The following is a 14,835-nucleotide window of genomic DNA, read 5'->3' as shown; positions in this document are numbered from 1 at the left end:
AATAATTCAGAATATGAATTAACATTTCAATTCAGATCAGATCTCAACTACTAAGGCAAAACCTAATGGGTCAGGTGGTAAATGCCAGTTACAAGAATAAATGAAAATGAGGCTGGGCATCGTGTCTTAGGCCTGTAATCCCATCACTTTGGGAGGCAGAGGCAGAGGCGGGTGGATAACTTGAGCTCAGATGTTCAAGAGCAGCCTGGCCAACATGGCAAAACCCCACCTCTACAAAAAAAATACAAAAATTAGCCGGGTGTGGTGGCACACACCTGTGGTCCCAGCTACTCAGGAGGCTGAGGTAGGAGGATCGTTTCACCCCAGAGGTAGGGGCTGCAGTGAGCCAAGATCGCACCACTGCACTCCAGCCTGGCAACAGAGCAAGGGCCTGTCTTTGGAAAAAAAAAAAAAAAAGAGGTGGGTTGGGGGCGGCCCTAGATGCTACATTATCCTAAAAGAAGCTATTGTTTTTAATGACTGCCTCACCTTTTTTCAAACTAGCAAGACCGATGGAAGGACATAACACGTGTTAATGCCCATCTGCAGAATGAGAAGCAAAGTCCAGACAGGTAATGCTGGAAGAAGATGCAAAGGCTACAGCGAATCAAAGCAAAGACTTGTGAGACAACTCAACTGGGCCTAAATCAAAGGCCGATCAAAGATACCGCCAGGCCAACAGCAAGGATGGTCCACGCTGGAGTCAGGGCAGTCTCCCCACACTCACCTTTCTCTTTTTGGCCAACTTGCTTGAGCTGTCTGAGCTCCTCTTCTCAGAGCTGTGCTTCTTCCCTGCGGGCGGCTGTTTATCTTCTGCTTTCCTCTGGCGGCTCCCCTTCCCGGGAGGCTGGGGTATCCGAGAGAGCAGGTCTAGGGTGATCTTCACCATCAAGCTTTGTGGGGGAGGAGTGTCCCTGAGCGGTGAGAGCAGCTTGGTGTCTCTCAAAGGCAATGGGAGTCTGTCTTTGCGGCTGTCCTCCTGGACCACCACGGCTTGGCGGCAGCCACTAGTCCTGCTGCCGCTGCCACTGTGGGGTGGGCCCTGGCTCTCAGTCAGGGGAACAAGAGCAAAGTGCTCAGGGGTCCTGTCCTCCACATTGTCCTTCGCGGGTTCTGGGCCTGAGAGAGCCTTAGAGGGGGCAGGGAGGGAGCTCTTGTGCTTCTTCTTCTCACTGGAGGGGGGCACTGCTGGCTTGGGTTCGTTGCTTGCTGCGGCCCGGGGCCGTCCTTTCGTCTTCACCTTGGGCTTGTCTTTGGAAGTCTGGTCTCGGGAGCCATAGGGAAGAAGCCCTGGCTCCCTTTCCCCCTGCAGGCTGGTCCGTGAACCTGCCCGGGCAGAGGCCTTGACAGGTTTTTTGGGTTGTTTGGTTCCAACGGTTTGCCTTTGTGGGGGCTCCTGCTGTGCCGGAGACTTCTGACAGCTCCTCTTTCCGGGGTGGGGGGCTTCGGGTGGGGCCCGGGGGGCTTTGCTGGAGCTTTTAGGGGGAGGATCTTTGGATTCAGAATGCTCCTGACTCGTGGCACTGTCGCTGCTGCCCTTACTCTCTGGGTGCCGCCGTGGGGGCTCTGTGCTCCTGGGGCCCTCTGGTGGCGCAGCTGGCTGGCTGACTTTGGTCAGCCAGTTGTCCAGCTGCCATTTGTTTGTTGTTGGAGGCTCAGGCTAAAAATAAGGAAAGAAAGAAAAGTGTTAACTGACCATTGATGACAAATTATTCTTTTGTGTTAGTCACCCAATTATACAACACTGTCCTGCAGAGGAGCAAATACTTCCAAACCCAGAATTTAGGTTCCGGTCATCCTCCTCAAGTTATAAGTTCTATAACAATTAACTCTTAAAGCAACCTTCACTTTTTTGTGGGATTTAGAAATTTGGTAATAGCAAATATTAATCAACAGGCAATTGCCAACTGCTGAGAAATCTTTATAATATATTCTAATGGTAATTATAGTATAATTTAAACAGAATTGACACATTTTGTTTTGTGAACTACTCTATTAAGGAATAATAGGAGGAAATGAGTAAAAAATCATTTCATCAAGTATTTGCAGAAGGCAGCTAATGAATAAATTTTTAGTGGGCTCACATTTTATCCTTTTTTTGACATATTTTTCAACTAAAGATGACTTTTATTCAAGATGAGATCATTTCTCTTTTTTGTGTGTGACAGGGTCTCAATCTGTCGCCCAGGCTGGAGTGCAGTGGCATGATAATAGCTCACTGCAGCCTCAAACTCCTGGCCTCAAGTGATCCTCCTGCCTCAGTCTTCCAAAGCACTAGAATAACAGGCCCATTTCTCTCATTTACTTAAAAACATTATGTAGTAAACATTTATACATGACAAAGTTATCATATCACATATAGTATACAGTGATTTGCAATTTTTATACCTTGATAAAGTCAGCTGGGTCACATTAGCCAAGCATTAATCCCACGTGAACTCTTTAAAAGTCAAACATTCGACCAATACGGTGATTCAGGCCTATAATCCCAGCTTTGGGAGGCCAAGACAGGAGAATTGTTTAAGCCCAGGAGTTCAAGACCAGCCTGGGCAACATAGCAATACCTCATTGCTACAAAAAACTAAAAAATTAGCCAGGAGAGGTGGCACGTGCCTGTGGTCCCAGCTACTCAGAAGGCTAAGGTGGGGATTGTTGAGCCCAGGAGTTTGAGGCTGCGGTGAGCCATGTGCACTCCAGCTTAGGTGACAGAGTGACACATTGGTCTCAAAAAAAAAAGGTCATACATCAAATCTCTCATTATAAGCAACCTGGTCTGAAACAGCACCTATGTTTCTAAGATACAAAGGGAGGCATACCGTCAGGGGCAATGAGAATGTACAATTGCGTGGCATAAAAACATAGGTTCCTGGCTCGTTACCTTAACTATTAGTTCAACCTTTGTTGATAAATTAACTGCTGTTGCATCCCACCACGTCTCTCCAGCTCGGCTGTTAGACCTTATTAAAAGAATGACGGAGACTCTTGTGTCTCCAAGTTCCACTACTCTATCTTGCATATAGTGGGTGCATGAGATATATGAGTATTCTGCTAGGTGGATTACTATACCCATGAATTTCATATCATATAGAAAAATATTAGTGTCTAACAGAGTGAGTGATAGTTACATTTATTTTAAAGACTATACATCGCTGTCCTTATGTCCTTATCTTAAGAAAAATACTAATTTATTTAAAGATCCACTCGGGGAGGTGGTTTGTAGAAATAAGTCATACACATAATGCATCAGAAAATTAGTTGAAAGACATCCCACTTCAGATTTATTTGCTTAGATTATAGATAAGGAGAACACTCCGGTAGATGGAAAGGTTTTAAGGGGAAGAAAGACTGCTGACAATTTTCCCGAGTGGAACATCCCAAATAATTCAACTCCATAAAACATGGAAATCCATGATGCAAAATATGTGGCTATGACATAAAGGCTTTTTGGCCAGGAAAAGGTTAGGTAATAAAAGGATCAGGTAGATAGTTTGGGTTTAGTGTGACTAACAGAACAGAACTAAGAAACTTAAAAAACCAGGCAAGAACATTCTTTGGACAGTAAGATGACTACATAATTCCTTTTTTCTTTCTGTTTACCCCATACTGCTGCTTATGATAACATTATCTTCCTTACGGCTTCCTTCGCTTATGTCAACTGTATACTCATGCTGTCATCTGAATTTAAGGGCAGAGAGGGAGGGAAGAAGGAAACCACTATTATGTGGCAGGCATTTTGTCACATGTAATCTAAATCCGTATTCAATATTCTAAGAACGCAGAATGGTTAAGAGTAGAGAAAAGATTAGCACACAATACCCACTTGTCAAACATGATTTCCTGGAGACTTCAGGGTGTGGTTACATAAGTGGTTAACTGATGGGACAAGGTAGTGAGATACATCACTTGCCAATCACATCAGGCACAAAGCCTTCACACCCTTCCTCAGGAAAGGTATGGACATATCTTACCCACTGGCTATATCTACAACTGCACCCCAATCCCTGACATGCTCTTTAGAAGACTATTTATGTGTGAACCCAAAAGGGAAGTCATTCCCAGTATAAATAACATCTGGTTTCCCCCCCAACCCTCAAAACAGGACAGTACTGAGATGCATTTAGTAGTCCCTAAAGGAACGTCCTGATTACAGAAATAAAATATATTCTTCCACTACAGTCCTAAAAATGTTCCAAAGGAAGGCCTATGTCCCAATTTGAGGGTAAAATTGAGTAGTTGTGCCAGACAAGGGGAACAGGTAGGGGCAATCCTGTATACCCAATATTAAGTTGTGAAATGGATATAATTTGATACATTATTTGGGTGTTGTGATGGAAAAAATGTTTTCATAAGGGATTGATTAAAAATATTTTTTAGGCTGGGCGCAGTGGCTCACACCTGTAATCCCAGCACTTTGGGAGGCCGAGGTGGGTGGATCACTTGAGGTCAGGAGTTCAAGACCAGCCTGGCCAACATGGTGAAACCCCGTCTCTACTAAAAATACAAAAATTAGCCAGACTTAGTGGCACGTACCTGTAGTCCCAGCTACTCAGGAGGCTGAGGCAGGAGAATCACTTGAACCCGGGAGGCAGAGGTTGCAGTGAGCCGAGATCACACCACTGCACTCCAGTCTGGGTGACAGAGTGAGACTCCATCTCAATAAAAATAAATAAAAATGAAAATAAAATATTTTTAAAAATAAAGTTTAAGTAAGGCCGGGCGCGGTGGCTCACGCCTGTAATCCCAGCACTTTGGGAGGCCGAGGCGGGCGGATCACGAGGTCAGGAGATCGAGACCATCCTGGCTAACACGGTGAAACCCCGTCTCTACTAAAAAAAAAAAAAAATACAAAAAATTAGCCGGGCGTGGTAGCGGGCGCCTGTAGTCCCAGCTACTCGGGAGGCTGAGGCAGGAGAATGGCGTGAACCCGGGAGGCGGAGCTTGCAGTGAGCCGAGATCGCGCCACTGCACTCCAGCCTGGGCGACAGAGCGAGACTCCGTCTCAAAAAAAAAAAAATAAAAAAAAAAAAATAAAGTTTAAGTAGATAAAAGTGCCAAGGTTTTAAGACTTTCAAATATCCTGGGAATATTTTATCTTTGTTTAGAGGATCAAAGTTTGGACTTTCATTTCTTCCTCTGCGTCTCCTCATCCCACCCCCAATCTGCCCTCCCAGTGCTGGTGCAATCCAAATACTGCAAATTGGAAATAGGAAAAAAAGGATATAATTATTTTTTATTAGGTGTTTTAATAAATTGGCAAAAGTTAGTATATTTGAGAATGAATTATGATTTTGAATTAAGAAGTTTTGAGCTTATTATTATGCACAATATAGATTTACTCTTTTAGTAACACTACATAGCTATGGGGAATATGAGTGCAAAATTTTTTTTTAAAAAGAGCATTAAAAAAATGGAAGATACACACTAATTTGTGGGAGCTAAAAAATTCAAACAATTGAACTCATGGAGATAGAGAGTAGAAGGATGGTTACCAGAGGATTGGAAGGGTAGTAGGGGGTGGGGGGATGGTTAATCGGTACCAACAAAACAAAACAAAACAAAACAAAACAAAACAAAACAAAACAAAAAAACCAGAACAAGATCTAGTATTTGCCAGCACAACAGGGTGACTGTAGTCAATAATACTTTAATTTACATTTTAAAATAACTGAAAAAGTATAACTGAATTGTTTGTAATACAAAGAATAAATGCTTGAGGTGATGGGTACCCCACTTACTCTGATGTGATTATTATGCATTATATGGCTGTATCAAAATATGTCACGCACTCATATATACAACTATTACATACCCACAAAAATTAAGACAAAGAAAAGAGAAAGTTAAAAAAAAATAAAAAAAAGGAGTGAGAAAGTTAAGAGTGAAAATTCCATAATTTACAGTACTGATTATGCAATATTAATGAAAAAGAATTCTCATTAATATCTGTATGTACAGCTTATTATGGAATTTCTGTTACTCTGAAACAACACCAGAAATTTATAATAATGCAGGTATTTATTGTAAAAGGAAAGAGATGTAGTTAAATACTTTAGGAAAAATTCAAAACTTAAAATCTAAACAAAGATAAAATATTCCCAGGAGGATAAGCCTCAGTATATAACACATACTGTCCCCAAGCCTGGATCTGCAATACATAACAATACTAGCCTTTTTTATTAAAGTGATTTTAAAAGATAAGGCAGGATGGGACCATTTATTTTACAGAGGTTTCACTCTATTCCAGTAACTTCTCAAGCAATAAAATATATCTATGTCTCATTACTACAAACGCCAGACTATCAAGTTTCAATTATTCAGCCAAATCTGTAACATTTCCATTTTATTTGAATTAAATGTTAATTATCTTTTCGATGTCAGTAATCTAACTAGCATGAAGATTTTTCTTAAGAATAAGGTGAAACATAAAGCAAAGATCTTATAAACACAATTTGTCTGCACAGCATATTCAGTATCCTTTTCCCTGAGGCATAGAAAAATTATTTCAATAGCAATTAGTATCATATAAGGAAACAAAGAGCCCCAGAAACACAGTGTAGTTTCTAAAATCTGAAAGGCACTTCAAGTGCAGTTAATACTGATGCATGTCTGTCCACTCCAAAACATATCAAGCTCTTATTTTCTGCGCCAGACATAGATTCGCATCTAACAGAAAATGACAGCCAGTTATTTTCTCAGCCTCCCTCACCCTCAGACAAGACCCTTAAGTCTCCCTACATTAGCTCCAGATGTATTCAGTTAATGCCCCATTGGAACTGCTTTGCTTTCTAAACAGAGACAAATACAGAAGGCTTTTTAATGCTTTCCTAATTAGAAAGCTTCATTTCCTGGCATTCCCTTATTAAATACATGGAATAATTTTCTCGATGTGGGCTGGTTTCATTCACCAAAAAGAAAAGCATGCCTTCCCTTTTCATTAATTTCTTTCCCCACCATAACTTTTACAATGCTACCCAAATTTTGAGGTTATTTGGCAACCCTGTTAGATGTTACTAACAATTTCTTGTGCTCAACAATCCAGTAAATAGCATAAATCCTCTAGATTTATTTAGTGCCTAAGATTTTCAGTCTTATCAGTTTGTCTTTACAATATTCTCCTGAGGGTGGGTGACAAGCAAACACCATCGTCCCTGTTTTACATGGGACAGAAAGGAGCAAGAAACAGAACCCTGACAAAATCACTTTGCCATCAATTTAATGCATGGCTTTTAGTGATTCGAAAATAGAACTCCTGATGACTTATTTCTAGTTCACATTCCTGCCCTTTGCTAAATCAGGCAGTCTCCTTTTGCTTTAATTCATGCATTTCTAAAATTTCACGAAGAATTCTCATTAATATTAAAATAGCAGCCTACTGAAACCAAGTTTTCTTTCTAAAAGAAGGGAAAAGAAAATGGTGTGCAAACAGTCTTAATGAGTTGATCTTCAAAACACCACTAGCAATGACAGAGAAGACCTATCATTTTCAACAGGGGAGAGAAGACCTCTCTCCCAACTCTCCTTTATTAAATATTTGGTAAGAAGCAAATAAATAGAAACAGATGGCTCTAGACAGCATAGGAGCAGGAAAGCATTGCCCCATGGGACAGAATGACTCAGTCTCATGGTCAGTCCTGGCCCACAGCACTGACTCTAACTTCAAAGGACAGAATGCTGCCATCTAAGGTGGCCATCTCGAGGGGGAACACGGTACCTCCGGAGCTGGGGTTTCTAGGGGCTCATTTTCTTCGCTGTCACTTGAACTGCTCTCGCTCTCTGAGTCTGAGGAACTGTCTGAGTCACTGGTGCTTTCTGACTCTGCACTGCTGGAATGTGCTGATGCCACTGGTTCTGGAAGGGACTGTGGAGCACTGCAAAGCAACCAAAAGATAAAATTAGAAGGCACGATACAAGGTGGATTTCTTCTTTCTCCCTTGCCCATTTTCCTGCTACTCAAAAGGGCGGGCCTTGGTATTAGATACACTGCTAAACTATCATGTCATCCAACTGAGAGAGGCCCAAAGTAGTTTAATAGAAAAGCAAAAACCTCTGAAAACTGATTGCCAGATAAATGCATAAAAGAGAAGCCTGTGAAATTTTACTCCTGAAGAATATGTCAAGTGATCCAAAATTTAAGTTAGATGCTGGGTGCTTCATATCAAGGGTTGGTAAACCATTGCCTAGGCTGGCTGCCTGCTTTTCTAAATAAAGTCTTATTGGAAGACACCCATACCCATTTTTTTAATGTACTATGTTTGCTTTTATGCTGCAATGGCAGATTTGAACAGCTGCAATAGAGACATATATGGCCCACAAAGCCTAAAATATTTACTATCTGATCCTTTTAAGTTTGCTGGTCTCTGTTACACATAACCAAATCAAATTAATTTCTGTAAGAAAAGCCAGTAAGTTAAAATCTCCCTATATTCTCTAAACAAGAACTGGGTGGTAGCCAAAGACCACTAAATATAAATGGTGTTCCTTTGCAAGGTGAACTCAAAAGTAACCAACCACTCACACTTCCTGGAAGAACTACAAAACGGACCATTCTTCGTAAGTGGCTTAGGGATCATCCCCAAATGTCAGACAAAGTAGAGATTATCTACTCCAAATTTTAAGAATGGGGCAATAAATCTAAGTTAGTAAGAAAACACATTGATCACACTGCTAGACACATATATAATTTCAAAGCATATATAATCTTAAAGCTTCACCCTAGATGGTATTAATTAAAGCAATAAGTCATTAACTATAATCTGGACAGATTTCAAATCTACCTAAAATATTTTCAAAATAGATTCATAAATAACACATATTAGAATAAAAATTATTAAACAATAACAAAATCACTAGTTGAGGTAACTTTAAAACACACACGATACCACTATATAATTTCCTCACAGAAATGCTGCACCCAGTTGGTGGCCCTGTCTCCATGGCAGCTGAAGAGCGTAAGCCAGTGATGAGCAAAAGGGGATACACTCTCAATGTTACTCCTGCCTCAAATTTGTACCCCCGCTTGGTCTCTTCTTTTTCCTTTTCCTCCACTTTTAGAAGTTAGGCTACCTTGTCATGTTTTATGAGTCATCATAACCCACCAGAAATTACTGAACAAAATAAGATATAATTGAACAAGCAAACCTTATGAATCTGTAAGAGTGCACATAATCACATGGGCTTCCTCCACATTAACTGTAACATCCCCTGCATAATGGACAAGATTTTATTGCTAATGTCGTCTCTGAGTGGATGAGCACATCTCAAGTGAGTAAAATAACTTTGTCCATGAAAGGCAGGTACCTGGCATATTACCAGAGGAAAGTATTATAAAAGAAGTTCAAATAGTTCATATTTTCAAAAATTAAATCATCACATTTCCTAAAGTATGGCTGGCTTATTCCATTTCCCATCACACTAAAATGTACTGCTGGTCATTTTGAAAAGCAGCTGAAACAATATGAAAATTCATGTAACTAAGAAAACAGGCATAATGGAAAAGAAGTTCTGGAAATAACTGAGCTTTATTGAAAACAGCAAATCTGTTACCTCCATTAAAACACTGGGCTCGTCAGTTTAACTTTTCAAATATTGATTACCTAATACTGATGATAAATTGTATTTTAAGCTTGTTTGTAAACTCCTTTTTTGAGACAGAGTCTCGCTCTGTCACCCAAGCTGGAGTGCAGTGGCACGATTTCAGCTCACTGCAGCCTCCATCTCCTGGGTTCAAGCGATTCTCCTGGCTCAGCCTGCCGAGTAGCTGGGACTACAGGCATGCGCCACCATGCCTGGCTAATTTTTGTATTTTTAGTAGAGACAGGGTTTCACCATGTTGGCCAGGCTGGTCTCGAACTCCTGACCTCAAGTGATCTGCCCACCTCAGCCTCCCAAAGTGCTGGGATTACAGGCGTGAGCTAGCACGCCCAGCCTGTAAACTCTTAAAAATCTTTAACATCTATACTGATGATGTAGATGAGTGTGGGGCTCTCGCTTCTATAGGGTTAACAACCTCCCTATGGCTGATTTAAGCTTCCAAAATATTAAACAGGTACTTTCCTTTTACTGTGATCCTTCAGCTCCTTCCCATGACAAAAAATGTGAAAGTACTAAATAAGGCTTTATTTTTCCCATTTGGTAAAAAATTGCAAACATTCTGTACAGATGGGGAGAAACCCACACGGTACCTTGGAGGTGCAGATGAGGAGGGAGGCTTCTCTGGGGTCTAGGCATTCACAATAAGGGGAAGAAAGACCAGGAAAAGAACAAAAAACAGGTTAGAACAAGCAGCTCAGATCTGTTAGATGTATTTAAAAGGACTCCTGGTATTACAGGCTGTGCAACACTTACTTGTTCACTGTCACTGTCCTCACTGTCACTGAGCTGAAGGTCGTCTTCGAGCATGCTGGAATGGGCAGGGACACAGAGAAGAATGAATGTGAAATGATTTCTAACAACTTTTCTAGCATGTAAATAGAAAATATGCCTAATTAAACAAAGAGAGAGGATATGTGTAAGTTTTCTTTATTTATTAAAGGCTGTGACTTCCTGAAAATGTTAAGTTTTACAATTATACAATTACAATGTACGAATACAATTATAATTATACAATTATAACACAGAAACCAGTTAAGTGCAAGCCTCTTACCATCTCAAAACAGACTCTTTCACATGCTACAACACTGAAGCAGAACTACCACAAGACAAGGATTCGTTGCGAGCCCTGAGACTAAAGTCCTTCACTCCTAATCAGTGAAGTCAGGGTCCATGCAAACAAAACAAATGGGGAGGGATACATAATATACTCAATTACTTTCTTCCATAAGCTCTAACTGAACTAAAGTAGTTAGCCATTAAATGAATTAAAGTTGAATGAATGAATATTTGTAAAGCACTCAGAACAGTGCCAGGCACATAAAAAGTTCAACATTAGAATTAAATACACAGTAAGATGTATGATGCTATCAAGGCAAACATCACCCAACAGTGCAGTTACTTTACATTTCTGTCTAAAGGACATTATTAATAGTGAGCTTTATTTTTGACAATAAATTATTCTCTTTTGCCTATGTGAACACTGATCAATGGGAAGAACAGTAATACAAACTCGATTGTCTACACATTATGTTTAACCTTATTGCTATTGTTTCAGTGAGGAAAAAAAAAAAAATTTCCTCAAACTTGGATTAATGTATCTGTAGGCATTCTGGCTTATGGTGAACCTAAATAGTAAAAAGCAAACATTTGTCAATCTGTACATGTGTTGTCAAATTTTAAAAACTCCACCGGCAAATTATTTGAGGTTAAAATCCTTCAGTATTTCCAAAAACACCTATTCAAAAATCTGATCAACAATTTTTACTGCAAAGCCATATCTACCACTGAAGAAAGCAGGCATGGTGTCTTTGGAAATCCTGGTAAAAATCACTATGTTTTCTAATGAAAATGAACGAAACTTGGCTGTTTCGTAAATGACCGCCTACATGAGGTGGTAATTCTGCCAAGAAACAACTTTCATAAATGTACTAAAAACATACTGGGATAAGTTTCTAAATAAAATGAAAACTGTTAGCAACTTGTAAATGTAGATCTTGCTCAATATTTATCTAACAGAAGCTAAATTCATATTTTTATTTCTTTTTGAGACAGGGTCTCACTCTGTTACCCAGGTGTGATCTTGGCTTACTGCAACCTCTGCCTCCTGGGCTCAGGCAATCCTCTTGCCTCAGCCTCCCGAATAGTTGGGACTACAGGCACAGGCCACCATGCCCGGCTAATTTTTGTGTTTTTGTAGAGATGAGGTCTTACTATGCTGCCTAGGCTGGTCTAGAGCTCCGGGTTCAAGTGGTCTGCCCACCTCAGCCTCCTAAACTGCTGGGGTTACAGGCGTGAGCCACCCTGCACAGCTAAATTCATATTTTTTCAAGGCTAGAAAATATAGCCTTCAGTCATAGGACTTGTCAGTTAGCAACGTAATGGTATACAAAAAAAGTCACTCAACAGGTTTATTGCTAAATGGTGGCTGGGCTGAGTTATACACAAACAAAAGATAAAAGATGTATCTTTGAAATAAATGTAAAGTATAATACAACCAGAAAAAAATCTGGCAAAGTGTATTCAGCATTAGTCACCAACCACAACAAAACAAAAAACTGACCTCTTTCTTAGTTACTAGGTTTGTTTTGAATAAAACTGATTTGCCTTAATTCCTGTAACATCAATGATCATGTAATCCAACCACATTTCCTGTTTTGAGCACAGGATTAAAAATTCTGTAACTTTCTCTTCTAGCTACCAAACATCTAACTTCCAAGAATATACTCTCCTAAAGTAAGTCAGAAAGTTAGAGAAAGTTCTGACTTTTGGCTCCACTTCCTCTTCAGGATAAACAGGCACCATGAAAATGCTGTCCCAGATTCTAAAAATTTTCCCTGCAGAGAATTACATAGATAGTAACAAAATAAGCCTACAGATACAAAACCTATTCCAAACCTAAAGAGTACGGACTGTGATCTCTGAAGGAAGATTGCAAAAGCTGTCTCCAAAGAAACACTCAGAAATGATAAACCAGTATGGTCAAACAAAACCTCTCCTCCCTCATTTGGGATGTATTGGGATTTATACATAAAGTATTTTACTTAATAAAAATTTGTGAGTATAATTTATTTGATAAAGAATAAACATATCTCACATGAGAATCAGCAGATATGTGTATTACTAGTGTCTGCTGGCACAGCCAAGAGTAACCACAAACTATTCCAGAAAGCCTGATTTACTGTATCACCAGAGGTGGGTATCTCAACGTAAACTAGCATGCTATTATTGGAGGAGAAAATGGCAGCAAGAAAAAAATTTTTTTCTAAAGTTTTTGATTAAAAAACATGTACAACATCTACTTTTTTTAAGTTACAAGTCATAACTAAGTTATGCTAATATAGAAAATTAATCATGAATGCCATTAGAATTTTTTTTAAACAGAAAATCTATGTAGCTGAAGACAGTTTGATGACAGGTGAAGGATTTTTAGGCCTAAGGACAAATTTTAAAGGAATTTAAATTTCTTTTAAATTTAAGAGGCTAAGGTCCTCTGCCTGTCCCACAAACTGTATTTGAAGCCAAGCACATACTATATGTGAAGAATCAGTCGTTGAATGTGAAAAATGAGGAGATGAACTACAGCACACCTGGGTGAGCACCTCTGTCCCCATGACAAGAGAATCCAAATCTCTTAGACCCAGTCTCAGTCACGGCAATAAAGCCTAGGTCAAGAGAACAGAAAGCTCAATGGATATGCTTCTTCTTTCTCACCTATAAATTTTTTTTTAATTAGGATCAAATCATTTTCACCTTTTATATTCTGTCTAGAAACTGGTAGGTATCCTAAAACAGCAGGCTGAATGAATAGGACCCCTTTGTTGAATAACAGTATCATGTAGCTGTGCCCACTATGTGATCAGAACAGACACTGCTTATCATTACAATCCTGTGTGGTGGCTTTTGACCATCCCTTCACATTCTAAGGATGAGGAAAACAGCCACCTGACATGCCCAAGATCCCCTTGTTCTGGCCAATGTATTACACAATGGTTAGAAAACCCAACTGATGGAATTAAATCTAAATTCCAGAACCCACCAAGAGAGAGACTTTGATTTAAAATAAAACTACTTTCCTATTGGAACTCAATATGTTATGTTTCCCTTATGAAGACAAATTAACTTTTAAACCTTATATACTTTAACTGGTCAAATAACAAGTTTCATTTCCAAATGCCAAGTCAAGGCAGTTATTTCAAAACATATACAACCGTATTACCTACTTTGACACTGTTCAAAAGAAGCCAAATCGCTCAGGTAAAGCAACTCTTTACATGTAGATTTAATCACATTTTACATTTGGTTAGGTAAACTTTTTGCTTACAGGTAACAAACAATTCTCAAAACCCTTTGTACAACTGCTTTTTCAGGCAGCTGTTCTAGCAAAGCTTAAAGAGCCACATACAGGTTCTGGCAGACACGCTGCAGTGAGTCAACCCGATTGCTACTGTGTGAAGACATAAAGACAAGTCGCCATTTATTTTCCATTTCTTAGTACTGGGCTTGCCCAAAGCTTTCACTGCCAATATTTTGTAACATCTCAATTCAGACCCAAAAAGTATTTACATAACCTTATTTCTTGGCTTAACATTTCTTAAGATCACTTTGAGAAAGAGTAAGTGCTCATAGTAGTTACTTAAAATTAGTAAGTCACAGCCATGGTATCAGGTGTGCTAAAAATAATAAGAAAAGTAACACTTTTCGGGAACCACTAACAAGTATGTGAGAATGTGTAAACTTATAGAATCTCACAAATCTGAAACTGATCCGGGGATAGGATGGGCAATGGCACACAAGGCAGGAGAAAGAGGCTGGGCTCCAGAGCACATCCAGAATCCCAGGATTTTTTTTTTTCTTTTTCAGACAAGGTCTCACTCTGTCGCCCATGCTGGAGTGCAGTGGCACCATTATGGCTCACTGCAAACTCTTCGCCGTCCAGGTTCAAGTGACCCTCCTACTTAAGCCTCCTGAGTAGCTGGGACCAAAGGTTTGTGCCACCATGCTTGGCAATTTTTTAAAGAAATCTTTTGTAGAGACGAGGTCTTACTATATGCACAGGCTGGTCTCAAACTCCCAGGCTCAAGCAGTCCTCTCATTTCAGCCTCCCAAAGTGTTGGGATTACAGGTGTGAGCCTGGCCGTAGAATCCTGGCATTTTCAAAGCAATCAGGCTCTGATTCCTTTCTTGATGTATGCCAGAAATAAGGACTGCCCGTGCATTCTAAGAGATGGTGGGAGGTTACAAATT

The 14,835-nt window shown here is 39.9% G+C and overlaps 1 protein-coding gene across 14 annotated transcripts in view; it reads right to left on the bottom strand.

The window, feature by feature from the left end:
* Nucleotides 1-14,835, bottom strand: part of AFF1 (ALF transcription elongation factor 1) — a 206,029-nt gene that overhangs the window by 25,013 nt on the left and 166,181 nt on the right. For all 14 annotated transcript variants that reach the window (XM_005263007.4, XM_047415702.1, NM_001166693.3 and 11 more), the window contains 4 exons: nt 10,345-10,399; nt 10,182-10,219; nt 7,712-7,868; nt 728-1,660 (listed from right to left, as the gene is read on the bottom strand). In XM_005263007.4, coding sequence (XP_005263064.1) covers nt 728-1,660; nt 7,712-7,868; nt 10,182-10,219; nt 10,345-10,399 — 1,183 coding nt within the window. The remainder of the gene's footprint in view (nt 1-727; nt 1,661-7,711; nt 7,869-10,181; nt 10,220-10,344; nt 10,400-14,835) is intronic.

This window comes from Homo sapiens, chromosome 4 (assembly GCF_000001405.40).
Source record: "Homo sapiens chromosome 4, GRCh38.p14 Primary Assembly".
In the NCBI taxonomy this organism is placed as follows: Eukaryota; Metazoa; Chordata; class Mammalia; order Primates; family Hominidae; genus Homo; species Homo sapiens.
This window is presented reverse-complemented; position numbering and strand designations above follow the sequence as displayed.